Source organism: Homo sapiens, chromosome 20, assembly GCF_000001405.40.
Source record: "Homo sapiens chromosome 20, GRCh38.p14 Primary Assembly".
NCBI lineage: Eukaryota > Metazoa > Chordata > Mammalia > Primates > Hominidae > Homo > Homo sapiens.
Genome location: NC_000020.11, coordinates 3,878,329 through 3,899,423, shown reverse-complemented (window position 1 = coordinate 3,899,423; position 21,095 = coordinate 3,878,329). Strand labels below are relative to the sequence as shown.

At 47.4% G+C, this 21,095-nt stretch overlaps 1 protein-coding gene and 1 long non-coding RNA gene across 9 annotated transcripts in view, besides 5 other annotated features; one reads left to right on the top strand and one right to left on the bottom strand.

The window, feature by feature from the left end:
• The window catches only part of PANK2 (pantothenate kinase 2), a 41,107-nt gene extending 30,464 nt beyond the window's left edge, over positions 1-10,643 (bottom strand). For 2 of the 8 annotated variants that reach the window (NR_136715.2, NM_001386393.1), the window contains exon 1: positions 9,696-10,037. Coding sequence is in view for 3 of the 8 variants with exons in the window: in NM_001386393.1 (NP_001373322.1) it covers positions 9,696-9,993 (298 nt within the window). In the remaining 5 variants the exon portion in view is untranslated. The other 6 variants (NM_153640.4, NM_001324193.2, NM_001324191.2 and 3 more) reach the window with 5 other exon arrangements.
• Positions 1,582-1,811: an enhancer, noted in NCBI's record as "active region_17488". NCBI's record gives its function as "activates an Ori minimal core promoter by ATAC-STARR-seq in GM12878 lymphoblastoid cells {active_cell/tissue: GM12878}" and the evidence as "EXISTENCE:reporter gene assay evidence [ECO:0000049][PMID:35858748]".
• Positions 2,828-3,122: a silencer, noted in NCBI's record as "tiled region #6416; HepG2 Repressive non-DNase unmatched - State 14:Gen5', and K562 Repressive non-DNase unmatched - State 14:Gen5'". NCBI's record gives its function as "represses a minimal TATA promoter and a strong SV40 promoter by Sharpr-MPRA in HepG2 and K562 cells {active_cell/tissue: HepG2 | K562}" and the evidence as "EXISTENCE:reporter gene assay evidence [ECO:0000049][PMID:27701403]".
• Positions 9,653-10,152: a silencer, noted in NCBI's record as "silent region_12635". NCBI's record gives its function as "represses an Ori minimal core promoter by ATAC-STARR-seq in GM12878 lymphoblastoid cells {active_cell/tissue: GM12878}" and the evidence as "EXISTENCE:reporter gene assay evidence [ECO:0000049][PMID:35858748]".
• PANK2-AS1 (PANK2 antisense RNA 1) lies at positions 10,251-13,055 on the top strand. Its single transcript, XR_001754478.3, has 2 exons — positions 10,251-10,685; positions 10,875-13,055. It is a non-coding gene; the product is annotated as a PANK2 antisense RNA 1 (long non-coding RNA).
• Positions 10,343-10,402: a silencer, noted in NCBI's record as "silent region_12634". NCBI's record gives its function as "represses an Ori minimal core promoter by ATAC-STARR-seq in GM12878 lymphoblastoid cells {active_cell/tissue: GM12878}" and the evidence as "EXISTENCE:reporter gene assay evidence [ECO:0000049][PMID:35858748]".
• Positions 10,411-10,962: an enhancer, noted in NCBI's record as "H3K27ac hESC enhancer chr20:3869109-3869660 (GRCh37/hg19 assembly coordinates)". NCBI's record gives its function as "activates a minimal SCP1, AML or CMV promoter by ChIP-STARR-seq in naive H9 embryonic stem cells {active_cell/tissue: H9 hESC(naive)}" and the evidence as "EXISTENCE:reporter gene assay evidence [ECO:0000049][PMID:30033119]".

Sequence of the window (21,095 nt, the reverse complement as noted above, 5' to 3'; positions counted from 1 at the left end):
CAAGATGGGTGGACCACCAGAGGTTAGGAGTTCGAGACCAGCCTGACTAACATGGTGAAGCCCCGTCTCCAATAAATACAAAAAATTAGCCGGGCATGGTGGCACATGCCTGTAATCCCAGCTACTTGGGAGCCTGAGGTAGCAGAATCACTTGAACCCAGGAGGTGGAGGTTGCAGTGAGCCTACACTACATCACTGCACTCCAGCCTGGATGACAGAGCGAGACTCCATCTCAAAAAAAAAAAAACCCGGCTGGGCACGGTGGCTCACGCCTGTAATCCCAGCACTTTGGGAGGCCGAGGCAGGTGGATCACGGGGTCAGGAGTTTGAGACCAGCCTGGCCAAGATGGTGAAACCCCGTCTCTACTAAAAATATAAAAAATTAGCCAGGTGCAGTGGTGGGCACCTGTAATTCCAGCTACTCGGGAGGCTAAGGCAGGAGAATCACTTGAACCCGGGAGGCAGAGGGTGCAGTGAGCCGAGGTCGCACCACTGCACTCCAGCCTAGACAACAGCAAGTCTGTTTCCCAAAACAAACAAACAAAAAAAAACACTCAAGACCAGCAAGACTGTTTCCCAAAACAAACAAAACCATGCAAACATTCCTTTAAAAACCCATAAAGCACTCACAAAAATTAACTGCACTAGCTTAAAGAACTTCAAATTCCAAAGAACAAGTCACATTCACTTACTGCAAAACTTCAAAATTAGAAATTAATCCAACAAACAAAGAAATAAATCTATCTACTTTGAAATTTTTAAACTATTAACTCTGGGATTAAAAAGGAAATCAAAACAAAATTTATTTTTAAATGAATGACAGTGAGAATACAATATATAGAAACCAATAGGATATACCCAAAGTAGTACTTAAACGGAAACATCTAGCCTTACATATTTATTAAATATACTCAGCAAGAAAGCCTAAGGGCGAGGCAGCTCATGCCTATAATCCCAGCATTTTGGGAGGCCGAGGCGAGTGGATGACCTGAGGTCAGGAGTTCGAGACCAGTCTGGCCGACATGGTAAAACCCCATCTCTACTAAAAATACAAAAATTAGTCAGGCATGGTGGTGGGCGCCTGTAATCCCAGATAATCAGGAGGCTGAGGCAGGAGAATTGCTTGAACCCGGGAGGCAGAGACTGCAGTTAGCCAAGATCGTGCCACTGCACTCTAGCCTGGGTGACAGAAAGACTCCATCTCAAAATAAATAAATAATAAAATAAAAAATGGAATCTAGTTGTACAGTAAAATTAATAGGCCATAGCCAAAAGAGATTCTTCTCAGTAATGCAGCAATGGCTTTTACATTAGAAATTCCAATTAGTAAGATGAAGGGAAAAAAATCATGATTATCTCAACAGATTCCAAAAAACAAAATCCAATATAACCAATTAAAACCAAGAGGTTTTTTTTTTTGAGATGGAGTCTCGCTCTGTTGCTCAGATGGAGTGCAGCGACAGACCTCAGCTCACTGCAACCTCCGCCTCCCAGTTGTTCAAGCGATTCTCCTGCCTCAGCCTCCCGAGTAGCTGGGATTACAGGCTCGTACCACCATGCCCAGCTAGTTTTCATATTTTTAGTAGAGACAGTTTCACCATGTTGACCAAGCTGGTCTTGAACTCGTAACCTCAACTAATTCGCCCACCTCGGCCTCCCAAAGTGCTAGGATTATAGGCGTGAGCCACTGCACCCAGGTTTTGTTTTCGTTTTTGTTTTTTTGAGAGACACAGTCTCACTCTGTCATCCAGGCTAGAGTACAGTGGTACAATCACCAGGTTCAGGCTCACTGCAGCCTCAACCTCCCTGGCTCAAGTGATCCTCCCACCTCAGCCTCCCAAGTAGCTGGACTACAGGTGCAGGCCACCACAACCAGCTAATTTTTTGTAGAGACGAGGTTTCACCATGTTGCCCGGACTGGTCTCAAACTCCTAAGCTCAAGCGATCCACCCGCCTCAGCCTCCCAAAGTACTGAGATTACAGACGTGAGCTAACACATCCAGCCTAGAGCTCACTGATAAGAGAAGGCCCCTGCCTTCTAGTTAGTGAGTCCTGGCCATTAATTTTCAGATATTTCAGTCTATTCACAGCCCTTAACATATTTCCTGATATTAAGACCTCCAAGGTACTCAGTCTAGACAACCTATACTTGACTTAGGCCACATTTCAAAACGTATGCAAAGCACAAGGTCCCATAATAGGTCTCAACGACTGAAATCCTTTAAGAGTGTGGAAAAACAAAGTTTTTCCTCTGCTCTCACACCACAGCAACGATCAACACAGAAGACTTCTGTGAGCCCACACACAAAGCAAGTAACCAATTCTGCAGCACTCACCAGCTGGGTGCCCTCCAATGCAATTCCAACGACTATGTACCTGGAGATAGCATCATATGCCACAGGTCGAGGGCTAAGTCCCTCAAGACTGCTCCTCCACCACACCTCTGCCAGACACCAGTTGCCAATCTGGGCCTCCAGAACTTCTGATCAACTGGCTTCAAGTTGGAGTTTGCATGACCCCTCTTTGGTTTGGATTAATTTGCTAGACTGGATCACAGAACCTAAGAAACACATTTACTGGTTTATTATAAAGATATTTCAAAAGATTCAGAGGAAGAGACGCATAGTACACAGTATAGGGGAGGGACACGGAACTTCTGTGCTCTCGGGCACTGCACCCTCCTGGAACCTCTTGTTTGGCCATCCAGAAGCTCTCCAAACCCTGTCCTCCTGGGTTTTTAATGGAGGCTTCATTAGTAGGTATAATTGATTAAATCACTGTCCACTGGTGATCAACTTAACCTTCAAGCCCCCACCCCTCCCCAGAGGCTGGAGAGGAGTGAAAGTCCCAACCCTCTAATCCTGTCTTGTTCTTTCCATGACTAAGTCCAGAGGCTTCCAGCCATCAGTTAACTCCTTAGCACACAAAAGGACATCACTGTGGAGTTTCTAAGGATTTCAGGAGTTGTATGCCAGGAAATGGGCAAAAGACCAATATATATATTTCACAACATCACACTTTCCAATGGGAAATACATAGTTCAGTAGGCTGGGCATGGTGGCTCACGCTTGTAATCCCAGCACTTCGGGAGGCCAAGGCAGGCGGATCACGAGGTCAGGAGATAGAGACCATCCTGGCTAACATGGTGAAACCCCGTCTCTACTAAAAATACAAAAAAAAAAAAAAAAAAAAAATTAGCCAGGCGTGGTGGCGGGCACCTGTAGTCCCAGCTACTCAGGAGGCTGAGCCAAGAGAAAGGGCATGAACCCAGGAGAAGGAGCTTGCAGTGAGCCAAGATCGCACCACTGCACTCCAGCCTGGGCGACAGAGCAAGACTCCGTCTCAAAAAAAAAAAAAGAAACACACAGTTTACTTTTAAAAGTGTGCTCAATTTTCCAATATTATGAACTACACTTTTACCAGACCACAGATGGTTAATGACATCGCAAATCCATGTCTAGGCTGTTCTAGGAAAGCAATATCTTGGCCTAACATTGAAAGAGGTACTTTAATAATTATTCTTATTCCCAAAATAGTTTTAAACTCAGGGACTAGATACTTATAAAAGACCACATACCGTAAAATCAGCAAATTCAACAACAAATTCTACATTCAGGAAATATAAACACACAAAATGTAACGAACTACTAAAAAACTGAGATGGGTTTCATTTTTAGAAAGCAAACTTTAAGCCGCAATTTAGAAAAGTTTTCACATCCCAGTCAGTCTTACCTGAACAGTGCCTGAAGATACCCCAAATTATGAACCTGAGAAAAGCTCACAAGGCTACAAACTTTAAGTCCAAAAAACATCACCGCTCTTTTAAATAATCAAAATAGCCATTCTTTTCATTGCCTGATGCTCTACAATAGCCTAGTCTATCTTCCTCCTCCTATTTTTTGAAATGTTTTGAGAAAAAAAAAAAGAAAAAAAAAAAAACGGAGACAGGGTCTCCCTCTGTCGCCCAGGCTCGAGTGCAGTGGCATGATCATAGCTCAGTGCAACCTCAATCTTCCGGGCTCAAGCAATCCTCCGGGCTCAAGCAATCCTCCTGTCTCAGCCTCCCAAGTAGCTGGGACTACGACCATGTGCCACGACATTCTGCTAATTTGTTTATTATTATTTATTTATTTATTTATTTATTTTATTTGAGATGGAGTCTCGCCCTGTCTCCCAGGCTGGAGTGCAGTGGCGCAATCTCGGCTCACTGCAACTTCCACCTCCTGGGTTCGAGTGATTCTCCTGCCTCAGCGTCCTGAGTAGCTGGGATTACAGGTGTGAGCCACCATGCATGCCCTTTTTATTTTTGGAGAGACGAGGTCTGGCTATGTTGCCCAAGCTGGTCTTGAACTCGTGGTCTCAAGTGATCTTCCCACCTCAGCCTCCTACAGTGCTAGGATTACAGAAATGAGCCAGCATACACAGTCAGCAAAATATTTTTAACAACATACATCTCTTCCTGCTATGGTCTCCCCAGATAGAAGGCAGGGACACCAACACTAAACAACCATATTATCCAACTGCATGATTCTTACACATGGCCCCTAAAGTAATATACTGTACCATTTTACACAGCTGCATAAGGGGACGATTTTTAGTCCCTGCTTATTGCTTAGTATTTATTATATATCTAAGAAGACAGGCTGTATTTACTTTGGTTCCACTTAAAGTTGATAAACTGGCCAGGCACGGTGGCACACACCTGTAGTCCCAGCTACTCAGGAGGCTGAGGCAGGAGAATCACTTGAACCTGGGAGACAGAGGTTGCAGTGAGCCAAAATCCTGCCACTGCACTCCAGCCTGGGCGACAGAGTAAGACTTCGTCTCAATAAATAAATAAATAAATAAAAAGTTGATAAATCAATAGGTTAAAAAACACCTTCAGGCCAGGTGCGGTGGCTCACACCTGTAATCCCAGCACTTTGGGAGGCTGAGGTGGGCAGATCACCGGAGGTCCAGAGCTCAAGACCAGCCTGACCAACATGGAGAAACCTTGTCTCTACTAAAAATACAAAATTAGCCAGGCGTGGTAGCGCATGCCTGTAATCCCAGCTATTCGGGAGGCTAAGGCAGGAGAATCACTTGAACCTGGGAGGTGGAGGTTGTGGTGAGCCGAGATCACGCCATTGCACTCCAGCCTGGGCAACAAGAGTGAAACTGTCTCAAAAACAAACAAACAAACAACATCTTTTCGGTCAGGCACGGTGGCTCACACCTGTAATCCCAGCACTTTGGGAGGCTGAGGCAAATGGATCACCTGAGGTCAGGAGCTCAAGACCAGCCTGACCAACATGGTGAAATCCCATCTCTACTAAACACAAAAAATTAGTTGGCCATGGTGGTACATGCCTGTAATCCCAGCTACTTGCGAGTCTGAGGCAGGAGAATTGCTTGAACCCAGGAAGCAGAGGTTGCAGTGAGCCAAGATTGCACCACTGCACTCTGGCCTGGGCAACAAGAGTGAAACTCCTCTAAAAAAAAAAAAAAAAAAACAAAAAACAAACAAAAAAAAAACTCCCATCTTGCCTCTCCCAATGGGCCACAAAGCTATAGCAATCTAACATTTTTCCTCAGCTCCCAGGGGTCAATCCGTCCTAATTCCCTGAAGCTGAAATGCTGAGCCTAATAAAGGCAGCCTAACAGGGCCCCGGCTCCAGTTCCATACTGCCAACAGCAACGCTCCTCGGAAAGCCAAGAAAAAATGATCCATTTTCTAGGCTAGTGTTGTCAAGCTACAAACAAAAACTGTATTATGAAGGTTAGATTTGTAGGAGTCCAAAATCAACAAGCCCCAAAGGTCTCCCTGGCATGCTACAACATGCCTTGCGAGTCATCTTCAAAGGATAAGTTTGTTGTCCACACTACTGTGGAGCACTCTGATCACAGGGCTTCCACACCTTCTGCACACCTGCTGCACATATGCTCAACACCTGGAGCCCTTGATAAAAATGTATGTTCTCTTGTTACATGAGTGTCTACATTTGCCAAAATTGTACATTTTACTCTATTTAATTATGCCTCAATAAAATTTAAAATATAATTTTAGACCCCTTTGCAGACCTATATCATGCAATGGTAGGTTGAGGGAAAGTTTTAAAAACTTGAGAACCACAGCTCTGGATTACATCACACATACCTTCCCCCACCCCAAAATGTGGACCAAGAACACTGGATCTGAAGTCAAGACACCAGGAATCAAAACCCAACTCCATCACTAACTCACTATATGGCCTTGGACAAAAGGACAATTTCACTGAGCCTGTTTTCTCATCTGGAAATTGGGGATAAAAAACACCTACCTCACAGGATAGCTATGAGACTTAACCAAGATGCTTATAAAATACTCGGCATAGTGTCCAAGACAAATAAGCACTCAGAAAATGGTAGCTACATTACCATCATTAGCGTCTTGGTTTCCATCATTTTAAAATCAATCTTTATTTGGTATTTCTTTCAGCCCTGCGAGACATACCCCCCTCCCCACCTGATGCAAAACTTTTGAAGAACTTAAATATACACATGCCTAGCCTCATCGCTAGGGATTCTGATGCAGTAAGTCTGGGACAAGGGCCGGTTTGGGAACTACACTGCTCTAGGAAACGCGTGACAGAACACGACTACAACCAGGACCACAAGAATGCCTAAGATAACCTGAATAGCTCCTTCGACTTTCAAATGACAACTAGTATCTATCTGCACCTTTAGACAAGTAGTGCGGTATCAGAGTAAGGCTTTTTTTTTTTTTTTTTTGAGACAGAGTCGCTCTGTCGCCCAGGCTGGAGTGCAGTGGCGCGATCTTCGATCACTGCAACCTCTGCCTCCCGGGTTCAAGCAATTATCTGCCTCAGCCTCCCGAGTAGCTGCGACTACGGGCACGCGTCACCACACCCGGCTAATTTTTTTGTATTTTTAGTAGAGATAGGGTTTCACCAGAAAGGTGGCACCATTCCATACCCAAACCTCCCAACAATAAATAAAAAAGATTTAGTCTTAGTTGAATTCTCTCAGAGATAAGACTGAAGTATACTCTAGGAGGGTTCGGCAGTCAACAAGCTGCTTCTCCTTTTTTTTTGTTTTTTTTTTGAGGAGTCTCACTGTATCATACAGGCTGCAGTGCACTGGCACAATTTCGGCTCACTGCAACCTCCACCTCCCAGGTTCAAATGTTTCTCCCACCTCAGCCTCCTGAGTAGCTGGGATTACAGGCATGCACCACCACGCCCAGCTAATTTTTGTATTTTTTAGTAGAGACGGGGTTTCAACATGCTGGCCAGGCTGGTCTCTGGTCTCGAACTCCTGACCTCAGGTGATCCACCCGCCTTGGCCTCCCAAAGTGCTGGGATTACAGGCATGAGCCACTGCGCCCAGCCTGCTTCTCCACCTAACAGGGGCACCCCTAGATAGTACAGAAGAAACAAATGGAAGGAAGAACAATCAGTATCCTGTTCATTCCTTTAGCAGGTCTTATACTGGAAAGATGGGTTTTCATGATTTATCAGCCAGAGAAGATAATGAAGGGAATCACGACAAACATCAAACATCAAAACAAAATATAAATCCTATAGCATGAATATGTGTCTACTTAGTTCCCTAAAATAAGTTTCAAAACTACCTTAATATAATTCTCCCCACCCAGTGTAAACCGGTTTTTCTGAGTGTGGTCTTTGAGTCACCTGTATTTGAATATGAGGAGCTTAACTGGGCCCACTGAATCTGCACTTTTACCAGGTCATTCTCATGCTCAATATTTGGAAGTACTTCCACAGTATCTAAAAATTTTCGCCTCAAGTAAGTCAGTCTTGAACACAAAAGATCAAACTTATGCTTGGTCTTAGAGCAATGAAGAAATAACTAACAGAACGTAAATAATTCAGAAAAACACAGTGGTCCACCGCAAAAGCTATGAAGCTAGCAATTCTGAGTTTACATTTCTATTTCACAACGCACTAGCCATTTGACCGGGCAAACGTGTCCCAGTTTTCTCATCTGTAAAATGGAATACTACCACCTACCTCAGAGCCACGAGGCTAATGAGTTACCAAAGCTCTTAGTAGACGACTGCCAGGTCGGGCACAATGGCTCCCGTCTATATCCCAGCACTTTGGGAGGCCGAAGTGGGAAGATCGCTTGAGACCAGGAGGAATTCAAGACCAGCCTGGGCAACATAAGAGATCCCATCTCTATTTAAAAAAATAAAAATTGAAAAATTAGCCTGGCATAGTGGCACGTGCCTTTAGTCCCAGCAATGCAGGAGGTTGAAGCAGGAGGATGGCTTGAGCCCAGGAGGTTAAGGCCACAATGAGCCATGATCATGCCACTGCACTTCAGCCTGGGCAACAGAACAAGACGCTGTCTCAAAGTAAAAAACAAAAAACAAACCAAAAAAACCCTTGTGGCTAATGGCTATACTCTTATTTGCTGAATCTTTGGAATTTACATCCATTTCCAACGATGTAATACAAAACCATGAAGGATCTCATATTTTGCATTGCTTCAAACTCAGGTGCTTCTCAAATAAAACAAAACTAGGTGACTGACTCTGAAAATGGCACAGGTTAAGAATCTGTTTTCCAAATCTGTTGCAAGAAGATGGAAAAAGACAAAAGAACTGAAAACTCCCAAACTTTTCACAGCAAAATAGAACTACATTTAATCATCCATATCAGAGAAGATTCAAAAAAGCAGTTGGGTGACTGGGCTAAGGTAGAAGACTATTCAATAAAAATCTCACATCTTGCCATTTTCCCTCCCTCTCACAATCTGCATTTAAACAAGTCAATTTCCTGAAATAGGAATCTGGCAACACCCACCAAAAAGTCCAACCATATGTAAAATGGCATCACACTGTAAAGCTCATATTACAGTATCAGGACAATTGATACTTTCAACAGCAGCAATGGCTGCCAGGCAGCGGTCCTGAATTGAAGACTTGTAAAGGGGAGAAAATACACAACACAGAAAAAGAAACCTAATAAAATGGGGAAACGGATTCTCTGGGAGGAGCGTATGCAACTCCCAAGGCAAAATTCAGAAAGATGTTGTTTCCCCTCAAAACAAAGAGCCTTAATGCCCAGAATGCCACAGTTCTGAATCGTGAGTACCTGCAAATAGACAGAAGGAAAACGGAGGGGATATGTGGGTGAGAGATGACCTGGATTCTCACGAGAAGAAGGGCAGCCACCTTAGAGGTGCACGGAATACAGTTTCAGGCCTGGTGCAACTCAAGGGGCAGTTCACCATTTTCCAGTAAGCCCGAAATTGACGAATAAAAGGGACTTAAAGTATTAGAGAGCAGCTCTTTGGAAACCCACGGAAAACAAACATTGGGGATTCAAAGGATTTGGGAGGAAAGGAGGTGGAAATGAGTCAAAAGAAGCCTTCTCGAGGATAAAATCATGTGACCCTCAGGAAGAGAATGCCCAAGGAGCTAAGAAAAGGGAGGACAGGTCCTGGGGAAAAGCCCTCCACTCCAACAAGCGGGAAGTGCATACCAATGGGTGCGGGGGGGCCCCCGAAGGTACCGCTTTCGGAGCACCCGAGGCCTCCAGCCGGATGTCAGGCCACGCACCAACGAGGGACCACCGTGCGGGGACAGTGTCCGCGCGCGGGAAAAACGGCGGCGGGGCCGGAAGGGGACAGGGTGGGCCGGAAGGGGGGGCAGGGCGGGCCGGGAGGGCGCCCCACGGAACACTTACGCGGCCGCTTTTTCCTCAGGCTTTCGACGCGCTGGCGGGAGACCGAGGTGGGGCCGCTGTAAGAGCCCAGTCGATCCCGCCTCGTGCCCTCAGCCGAGGCCCCGACCGCGGGCACCGACGCGCTGCTCGCCCGGCGCCGCAGTGGCTCCTGCCGCCGCCCTTCGGGGTCCCCGGCCGCCTGCTCCCCAGCCGACGAGACGGAGGTGGCGGAAGCCCTGCCGTGGCGCTCCATGGGCGCGCCGAGCCGGCCCCCTCCCATCCGCAGCAGCAGTCGCTGCCGCCCGAGCAAGCCCCCCAGCGTCGGATTCCTTCTCGCCTCCTCCGCGGCAGTCCAGCCAGAGCAGAGGCGCGCCCTCGGCCGGCCGCCTCTTCCGTTGCGCCAACGCGCAGGAAGCCAATCCGACGAGGCTGGGGACGGCCCAAAGGCCTCGCGTCCAGTCGGCTCCCTAACTCGAGGAGGATTGACCGTGCCTCCGTCCAATGAGAGGCTATCGTGACGGGGCGGGGAGAGGGTGGTGGAGGAGGGGATCCGGGTTCCGCGGAGGAAGAGAAGGCGGTGTAGCCCAGAAGAGAGTGATGGCGGCGCCGCCCAATGGACGCGTGGGTGGAAGGGCCCGAGCCTCCTCATCCACCCCCTCCTTCCGCCCCCCACTTGTGCATGCCTCTGCCCCCCCGGGCCGCGGAACTCTCCTGGGGCGACCCCGAGTCCCACCCCGCTGCTCCGTGCCGTCCTCGCAGCTCGAGCCCTCCTCCAGCCCAGCAGTGCTCCCGCAGCGTCTGGCCGCTGGTCGTCGGCAGACGAAAGGGCTTGAACCGCGGCTGACCTTAGCCTTTGTCCCTCGGCCTAGTTCCGCAGCTGCCGTCGAGGCCGCCAGCCCCTCCCCCAGCATGTTTGGGCTAAGCCGCCTCCTTTCCGCCTGCGTTGGAGAGAGAGGTACCAGAAGGAATGAAAGGACTGGGGCTTGTCTCCATGGCAACTGAAAGAAAGAGGTGGGTTATAAATCCTTCGCCACCCTCCTGTGGCGAAGGAGGGGAAGTGGGAGCCGGGAAGTAGAGTTGGCCTTTTGCAGGAGAGTCTGGAGCCCCTTTCTGGGTGATGCATTGGGGGCCATAGAAGGATTTGGCTGCCGCTTTGGAGCATGGATTTTTTTTTTAATCATCTTCCTTTCTCTTTTGGAGAGAAAAATTGGTCACCTCCAGGACTGAGACCCTGACCCTTCCAAGCATCCCCACTACCAAAGGCTGCCCAAGCCCGGAAGGATCCCATCCCGTTCTGTACTCTGAGGTCACTTCCTCACTCCGTCAAATTTCACTGGACTGTGGGCTAATTAAAAGTGCCTCCGTATTAGCGGGGCGTGGTGGCCCATGCCTATAATCCCAGCTACTTGGGAAGCTGAGGCAGGAAAATTGCTTGAACCCGGGTGGCGGAGGCTGCAGTGACCCAACATTGTGCAACAAGAGCGAAACTCCGTCTCAAAAAAAATAAAAAATAAAAAAGAGTGCCTCCCTGGGGAGACTGTAATGCCCACTGGGCAGTGATCCTAATGCCCCTTGGGCAGTGATCCTTATTCCCCTCTCCCATAATGATTGGTTGTAGCAGGCTGAACAAAAAGGTTGAGCTTCGCTTGTGCTTGCTGAATAGAATTCTCACGCCCACTCCACGTTAGCTCCCCTCACTGTAGGACTAGCTCTGAAAATTCTAGCTCCTGTAGGAAGCCAACACAGACGGATCTACAAGAACCAAAAACAGCTATAGCTACTCTTCTAAATCTCAGTGCCTGACATTGCCTCTCTTTCTGCCTCCTCTCTCCACCCCCCAAAAAATGTGGTCCTCCTTGACCTGAGGGAGCTTCCGTCCAAGTCTGAGCTCTGATCATCCTGAAGAATCAAAGTATCATCATCCCTTGGCTGGCAAGATGAACTCCAACATCAAAACACTTGAAACAGTAGTATTTTTACACAATTTGCCCACTGCCTCTACATCTCACTTAGTCCTTGCAGTAACATTTGGATGATGAGGTAACTTATCCAGAAGCACAAAGCCTAAAGAATGACAGAGCTTGGACTCCTGAGAAGTTCAGCTACTGCCCGCCTTATGATAACCAAAAGAAAGCGGCCGGGCGCAGTGGCTCAACTCCTGTAATCCCAGCACTTTGGGAGGCCGAGGCGTGCGAATCACAAGGTCAGGAGTCCGAGACCAGCCTGGCCAACACAGGGAAACCCCGTCTCTACTAAAAAAAACAAACACAAAAATTAGTTGGGCGTGGTGGTGGGCACCTGTAATCCCAGCTACTTGGGAGGCTGAGGCAGGAGAGTCACTTGAATCCGGTAGGCGGAGGTTGCAGTGAGCCGAGATCGTGCCACTGCACTCCAGCCTGGGAGACAGTGAGACTCCGTCTCTAAAAAAAAATGAATAAATAAATAAGAAGGCACACCACAAGTTCGAGACCACTTCTACAAAAAATAAAAAATAAAAAAAATTAGGCCAGGCACAGTGGCTCATGCCTGTAATCCAAGCACTTTGGGAGGCTGAGGCGGGCGGATCACTGGAGGTCAGGAGTTTCAGACCAGCCTGGCCCAACATGGTGAAACCCTGTCTCTACTAAAAATACAAAACTTAGCTGGGCGTAGTGGTGCGTGCCTGTAATCCCACTTACTCCAGAAGCTGAGGCAGAAGAACTGCTTGAACCTGGGATGCAGAGGTTGCAGTGAGCTGAGATTGCACCACTGCACTCCAGCCTGGGCAACAGAGTGGGACTCTGCCTCAAAAAAAAAAAAAAAAAGAAAATGAAGATGACCAAATGGGCTTCTAGATGGCTAATGATATTCTGTTTCTTTGATCTGGGTGGGGGTTACATGGGTGTGTTCCCTTTGTAATATGTTATCAAGACATTTTGTGCACTTTTTTGGGTATTATACTGAAAGAAAACATTTATTTTTTAAAAAGTTGAAAAATTGCCTTGGAGCAGAGTAAGGTAAATCTATGATTAAGCTTAGATTTTTTTATTTTTTATTTTTTATTTTTTTTCAAAAAAAATGAGGCCAGGCGCGGTGGCTCACGCCTGTAATCCCAGCACGTTGGGAGGCCGAGGTGGGCAGATCACGAGGTCAGGAGGTCGAGACCATCCTGGCTAACACGGTGAAATCCCATCTCTACTAAAAATACAAAAAATTAGCCAGGCATGGTGGCAGGCACCTGTAGTCCCAGCTACTCGGGAGGCTGAGGCAGGAGAATGGCATGAACCTGGGAGGCAGAGCTTGCAGTGAGCCAAGGTCACGCCACTGCACTCCAGCCTGGGTGACAGAGCAAGACTCGTCTCAAAAAAAAAAAAAAAAGTAAAATGAACCTAACAAGAGGCATCCTTTCTCTGTGGTTATTATAGTGAGAACTAAGTTCTTTATCACTCTCCGGTTATTTACCCCTAGAGAGAAGCCAACTTTCTGGTTGTATACACCAGAATAAGTACAAGAATGGTAAGCATAGAGCTTCAGAGAAACTAGCCAGATTCTAAAGGAATGACTTGAAAATCGAGAGCCGTTTCAATGACAAAACATCATACAAAATATTCATCTACCACATTAGAGGCCTATCGCTAGGTAAAAACACCAAAACTTCAGCTTAAACAGTAGTATGTATGTATGTATTATCCCAGTTTCTGTGAGTCAGGAATTCAGGATTGATAAGCTGGGTGGTTCTTGTTCAGAATCTTTCAAGAGGTTGCAGTCCTCTGAAAGTGTAGTGGGTTGGGGTATCCACTTCCAAGGTGGCTTGCTCATATGGCTGGCAAGTTGGTGCTGGCTGTTGGCAGGAGGCCTCAGCTCACAATGCAGGCTTTCATAGGACTACGTGAGTGTCCTTTCAACATGGCAGCAGGCCTTCCCTAGAGCTAGTGAAGGATGAGAAAACGACAAATCGCAATGTCTTTTATGACCTAGGCTGGGAAGTTATACTCCATCATTTATGCAATATCCTGTTATCACACAGGTCATCCCTATTCAGTGTAGGTTGGTACTACACAAGGACATGAATATCAGGAGGAAGAGAATCTCTGGAGGCCATCTTGGAGCCCATAGTCCGCCTTCTGCCCCCTAATGATTCACGTCTTCGTCTGTTCCTGCTCTCTAAGAGCCAGGAGGCAGACTTCCCTTGAGCTTTCTTGCAGCTAAAGTAGAGCATCATTAGCAGTAAAAATTAAGATATCATCACAAAGGCCAGGCACAGTGGCTCACGCCTGTAATCCCAACACTTTGGGAGGCCAAGGTGGGCGGATCACCTGAGGTCAGGAGTTCGAGACATGCCTGGCCAACATGGTGAAACCCTGTCTTCACTAAAAATACAAAAATTAACCTGGTGTGTTGGCGGGCACCTCTAATCCCAGCTACTTAGGAGGCTGAGCCAGGAGAATCACTTGAAACCAGAGGCGGACGTTGTAGTGAGCCAAGATGGCACCACTGAACTTGAGCCTGGGTGACAGAGCAAGACTCCATCTCAAAAAAAAAAAAAAAAAAGACATCACAAGATTGCCAGGCACAGAGGCTTAAACACCAAGTTCTTTCTCATGTCATCGTGTTTCGTCGGTGCCGAGGACATGAGGGGTGTAGATCAGGCCTGTTTCAAACACAAGGCCTTTTGGCCAGAGTGTAATGGTGTGAGGACTTGGGAAGACCTTACCTACTTAACTGTCTCTCTCAAAGGACAAAGGTATGAGGGGGTTAAAAAAAAAAAAAAAAAGGCAAAGCTATGAAGAACATGAAGTTCTTAAGCCCCTAGACACTCTTCCAAGGTCTGGCCTGTATCCCAGAGTCCACTGCTGAAAAGGGGCAGAGATGTGTGTTATATGCGCACATACGTACGCATAGTATAGCTAGCATATGGCATTCTGGTGGCCTCGACGGAGCTCACAGGCAATATAACAGCATTGACTGCTTTCACAGTTTCCACTTGTCTCAGGAAAATAGAGAAAATTCAAGATGAAATACAGTGAGTTTAGGACAACTCAGTTTCCTAAATATGGAAGATCCTGTCCCTTCCCAAGTATTGAAAGAGATGAAAATTTTCCCTTAGTTTTCAAGCTCAAAGTCTATCTTATCTTTGACTAAATAGCCCTGATTTGGATACTGTTAACTTGCTCTTAACTACTAATAGTCTAGTGCTTTTACTTTATTTTATTTTATTTATTTTCTTTGAGACGGAGTCTCTGTTGCCCAGGCTGGAGTGCAATGGCACTATCTCGGCTCACTGCAACCTCCACCTCCTGGGTTCAAGCGATTCTCCTTACTGAGCCTCCCGAGTAGCTGGGAGTACAGGCGCACACCACCATGCCTGGCTAATTTTTGTACTTTTAGTAGAGATGGAGTTTTGCTACGTTGGCCAGGGTGGTCTCGAACTCCAACTCAGGTGATCCACCCACCTTGGCCTCCCAAAGTGCTGGAATTACAGGGATGAGCCACTGCACACAGCCTATTTGTTTTTTAAGAGACGTGATCTCGGGACCAGGCATGATGGCCCTTGCTTAATCCCAGCACTTTGGGAGGCCAAGGCAGGCGGATCACATGAGTCCAGGAGTTAGAGACCAGCCTGGGCAATGTGGCAAAACCCCATCTCTACAAAAATACAAAAATTAGCCAGGCGTGGTGGCACATGCCTGTGGTCCCAGCTACTCAGGAGGCTGAGGTGGGAGGATCGCCTGAACCAGGGAGGTGGAGGTTGCAGTGAACCAAGATCGCACCACTGCACTCAGCCTGGACCACAGAGCGAGACACTGTCTCAAAAAAAAAAAAAGGATCTCACTCTCACCGAGTCACATTTCAAGTAGTCAATAGCCACAAGTACCAGGCACGGTGGCTCACGCCTGTAATCCCAGCACTTTGGGAGGCCGAGGCGGGCAGATCACGAGGTCAGGGGATCGAGACCATCCTGGCTAACATGGTGAAACCCCGTCTCTACTAAAAATACAAAAAATTAGCCGGGCATGGTGGCGGGCGCCTGTAGACCCAGCTGCTTGGGAGGCTGAGGCAGGAGAATGGCGTGAACCTAGGAGGCGGAGCTTGCAGTGAGCCGAGATCGCGCCACTGCACTCCAGCCTGGGCGACAGAGCAAGACTCCGTCTCAAAAAAAAAAAAAAGAAAAAAATAAATAGCCACAGGTGTCTAGTGGCTATCACAAACAGAAAGCTCTAATTAGTAATTTATTTCAATGGCCTCCTAAGAGTTTGTTCTGCCTCTAGTCTCTACTCTCCAGGCCCACAGCTCCCAGGGTAATCTTATTAAAGCATTCTCCTGTTTATAATCTCGCCTATGTTAAAAAGGTTATGGTGGCTTCTTTGCCTACAGAATGAAGTTCAAACAACTTGACATCCAAGGAGCTCCACCATTTGGTATCTTCCCACTTTTTCTTTTTCTTTTTTTTTTTTTTTTTTTTGAGATGGAGTCTCACTCTGTCACCCAAGCTGGAGTGCGGTGGCACAATCTCGGCTCACTGCAAGCTCCACCTCCCGGGTTCATGCCATTCTCCTGCCTCAGCCTCCGGAGTAGCTGGGACTACAGGCGCCTGCCACCACACTGGGCTAATTTTTTGTATTTTTTTAGTAGAGACGGGGTTTCACCGTGTTAGCCAGGATGGTCTCGATCTCCTGACCTCATGATCCGCCCGCCTCAGCCTCCCAAAGTGCTGGGATTACAGGCGTGAGCCACCGCGCCCAGCATCTTCCCACTTTTTCTCATTGCTTTATTATGCTTGCATAACTGTTCTAACAAAACAAATCTCACAATTCTCTAGATAAGCCTTATTCTTACCCAGCTTTGGCTCATCCTTCATCTCTACATCTTTTTTTTTTTTTTCTTTTGAAACGGAGTTTTGCTCTTGTTGCCCAGGCTGGAATGCAATGGTGCTATCTCAGCTCACCGCAACCTCTGCCTCCTGGGTTCAAGCGATTCTCCTGCCTCAGCCTCCCAAGTAGCTGGGATTACAGGGATGCACCACCACACCCAGCTAATTTTTGTATTTTTAGTAGAGATGGGGTTTCTCCACGTTGGTCAGGCTGGTCTTGAACTCCCGACCACAGGTGATCTGCCTGCCTCAGCCTCCCAAAGGGCATCTCTACATCTCTACATAAAATTCCTTCCCGCCACATTTCTGCTTATCAAAATCCAATCCAACTTCTATGGCATGGCCCAAATGATACCTCCTCCTTAATGTCTTCATTGATTACCACAGTTCACTGTAAACCTGATCTTTTTTTTTTTTTTTTTTTTTTTTTGGAGACAGAGTCTGTCTCTCCATCGCCCAGGCTGGAGTGCACTGGCGCAATCTCAGCTCACTCCATCCTCCATCTCCTGGGTTCAAGTGATTCTCCTGCCTCAGCCTCCCAAGTAGCTGGGACTACAGGTGCATGCCACCACACCCGGCTAATTTTTGTATTTTTTAGTAGAAACAGGGTTTCACCAGTCTGGTCTTGAACTCCTAACCTCAGGTGATCCACCCACCTCAGCCTCCCACAGTGCTGGGATTACAGGCATGAGCCTCTGCACCCGGCCAACCCTGATTTTTTTTTTTTTTTTGAGACATAGTCTTGCTCTGTTGCCCAGGCTGGAGTGCAGTGGCACGATCTCGGCTCACTGCAAGCCCCGCCACCCAGGTTCACGCCATTCTCCTGCCTCAGCCTCCCGAGTAGCTGGGACTACAGGCGCCTGCCACCACGCCCGGCTAACTTTTTTTTGTATATTTAGTAGAGACGGGGTTTCACTGTGTTAGCCAGGATGGTCTTGATCTCCTGACCTCGTGATCCGCCCGCCTCGGCCTCCCAAAGTGCTGGGATTACAGGCGTGAGCCACCATGCCTGGCCCTTTTTTTTTTTTTTTTGAGACAGGGTCTGGCTCAGTCACCCAAGGTGGAGTGCAGTGACGCAATCATGGCTCACTACAACCTCCACCTCCCCGGCTCAAGCAGTCCTCCCACCTCAGCCACTCAAGTAGCTGGGACTGCAGGTCCACACCACTATACCTGGCTAATTTTGTATTTTTTGAAGAGGCAGGGTTTTACAACGTTGCCCAAGCTGGTCTGAAACTCCTGAGCTCAAGTGATCCGCCCCCCTCAGCCTCCTAAAGTGCTGGGATTATGGTGTGAGCCACCTTGCCCAGCCTTATGTCACTCTCAGTGGCATTTCTCGTACTTCCTGGTCCTAAGATTCTTGGTGTACACGTTGTATAATCCCAACTAGATATGAGAGCTATCAGATTAAGACTTTGCATCTTTACATCCCCCAGTACCTTTCAGAGTGTGAGTGCACACACACCATTTGCTAAGGAATGATTGCAGTGACAATACCAAGTTTAGGATCCCTTAAAATACCTATATCTTGGGCAGAGGTTGCATTGAGCTGAGATCATGCCGCTACACTCAGCCTGGGTGACAGAGCGAGACTCCATCTTCAAAAAAAAAAACAGTCCGGGTGTGGTGGCTCACGTCTGTAATCCCAGCACATTGGTAGGCCAAGGTGGGTGGATCACAAGGTCAGGAGTTCAAGACCAGCCTGGCCAACTTGGTGAAACCCTGTCTCTACTAAAAATACGAAAAAAAATTAGCCGGGCATGGCGGCGGGGCACCTGTAATCCCAGCTACTCAGGAGGCTGAGGCAGAGAATTGCTTGAACCTGGGAGACGGAGGTTGCAGTGAGCCGAGATCACGCTACTGCACTCCAGCCTGGGCGATAGAGCGAGATTCTGTCTCAAAAAAAAAACTACATCTTCATAGTGGACATATTTGACATCTACCCAACTTACAACCATTCCTCCTATAGATCATAGATTAGGCCCCAACAGCCATGTTTGTACCTCCTAAACCCCACCACCTTGGAATAGAGACTTACTTCTCAAAGTGTGATGCCACATTCCTCGTGGGGTCAAAGAAGCAGAAAAAATTGGTTTGCGGCCGGGCGCAGTGGCTCACGCCTGTAATCCCAGCACTTTGGGAAGCCGAGGCAGACAGATCACCTGAGGTCAGGAGTTCGAAACCAGCCTGGCCAACATGGCAAAACCCCATCTCTACTAAAAATACAAAAATTAGCTGGGTATGGTGGAGGGAGCTACTCGGGAGGCTGAGGCAGGAGAATTGCCTGAACCCAGGAGGCCAAGGTTGAAATGAGCCGAGATCGCACCGCTGCACTCCAGCCTGGGTGACAGTGCAAAACTGCATCTCAAAAAAAAAAAAAAGTAGGTTTGCACAGAGCTCCAAGAGTGAACAGATGAACAGAACAGAAAAAGCACTTTGCCAGCTCTCCCAGTCCTGCCTGTTTCTATCCATTCCCTAGGCTGAATACATTCCTGTCTGTGTTCCATATGTCTCCCCCCGCAACATTAAAATAAGTTTATTAAGTCTCCCGCCCCATATTTTAATCTAGCTTACATTGTCTTCTGTTACTTGGAACCAAGAGTCTTTTTTTTTTTTTTTGAGACGGAGTCTTGCTCTTTCACCCAAACTGGAGTGCAGTGGCACAATCTCGGCTCAATACAAGCTCCGCCTCCTGGGTTCATGCCATTCTCCTGCCTCAGCCTCCTGAGTAGCTGGGACTACAGGCACCCGCCACCATGCCCAGCTAATTTTTGTTTGTTTGTTTGTTTTTAGTAGAGACAGGGTTTCACCGTGTTAGCCAGGATGGTCTCGATCTCCTGACCTTGTGATCCACCCGCCTCGGCCTCCCAAAGTGCTGAGATTACAGGCGTGAGCCACCGTGCCCAGCTGGAACCAAGAGTCTTAATTAAACAATCATGATGGAGACCAAGCCCACATTTTTCAGGTCACCTAATCCTGGCCTCTCCATGATCCAGTAACCTGAGTTACAGCTTTCCTACCATAAGGACTTAGAGCTAATTTCTTAAAGCCTGTAGTGGAGGCTGAGGCGAGAGGATTGATTGACACAAGGAGTTTGAGTCCAGCCTAGGCAACATACCAAGACCCAGTCTCTTAAGTAAATTTTTTAAAAAATCAATTTAGTTTCCAAATGAGATCAACATATTAACATATTATATTTGATTGCTTTGCCTTTTTTTTTTTTTTTTGAGGTGGAGTTTCACTCTTGTTGCTCAGGCCGAAGTACAATGGCACAATCTCAGCTCACCACAACTTCCGCCTCCCAGGTTCAAGCGATTCTTCTGCCTCAGCCTCCTGAGTAGCTGAGATTACAGGCATGCACCACCACACCTGGCTAATTTTGTATTTTTATTACAGATGGGTTTCTCCATGTTGGCCAGGCTGATCTCGAACTCCCGACCTCAGGTGATCCGCCTGCCTCAGCCTCCCAAAGTGCTGGGATTACAGGCATGAGCCACCGCACCTGGCCCAGGTTTGATTTCTTTAAAAGAATTCTTCACAGGTGCTATTTACCTTTTTAAACATTATTTTTCTATTTTTGTTTTGTTTTTGAGACGGGGTCTCACCCTGTCACCCAAGCAAGAGTGCAGTGGTGCAGTCACAGCTTACTGCAGCCTCAAACCCCTGGGTTCAAGCAATTCTCCCACTTCAGCCTCCCAAGTACCTGGAGGTACAGGTGTGCACCACCACGCCCAGCTAATTTTTTTTTTTTTTTTTTTTTTAGAGACAAGGGTCTCACTATGTTGCCCAGGCTGGTCTCAAACTCCTGGCCTCAAGCGATCCTCCCACCTTGGCCTCCCAAAGTGGTTCCCACTTATAAGTGAAAACATTACAGGTGTGAGCCACCATGTCTCACTATTTACTTTTTATTCATCTCATCAAGAGAAGAGAAATTCATAACATTAACTACTTACGTTAGGGGCTACAGCCCCTACCGTAATTTTCTAATCAGGTAGTTTCTTCTATGCTTGGTTAACTGGAATTTGTGTGTGTGTGTGTGTGTGTGTGTGTGTGTGTGTGTGTGACAGAGTCTCACTCTGTCACCCAGGCTGGAGTGCAGTGACACGACCTCAGCTCACCGCAACTTCCTCCTCCCAGGTTCAAGCGATTCTCCTGCCCCGGCTTCCCGAGTAGCTGGGATTACGGCTGTGCACCACGACACCCAGCTACTTTTCTTTTGTATTTTTAGTAGAGATGGGGTTTCAACATGTTGGCCAGTCTAGTCTCGAAATCCTGACCTCAAGTGATCCACCTGCCTGGCCTCCCAAAGTGCTGGGATTATAGGTGTGAGCCACCGCACCCAGCCTAACTGGAATATTTCTATAAAGAATCTTCCCTCATCAACTCTTTGTTATCCTGAAGTACCTCAACCTCAGCCTCCAGAGGAGCTGGAACTACTCAAATAGAAAAGGCAGGATCAATTCTTTCCCTTTACTGACCAGTTTTCAGAATGAGTTGGTTTCCTGGGGCATCCTCTAGAGGTCAACAATGAATTCTTTTTAGTATTATCATGAACTGGTGGCTTTTTTTTT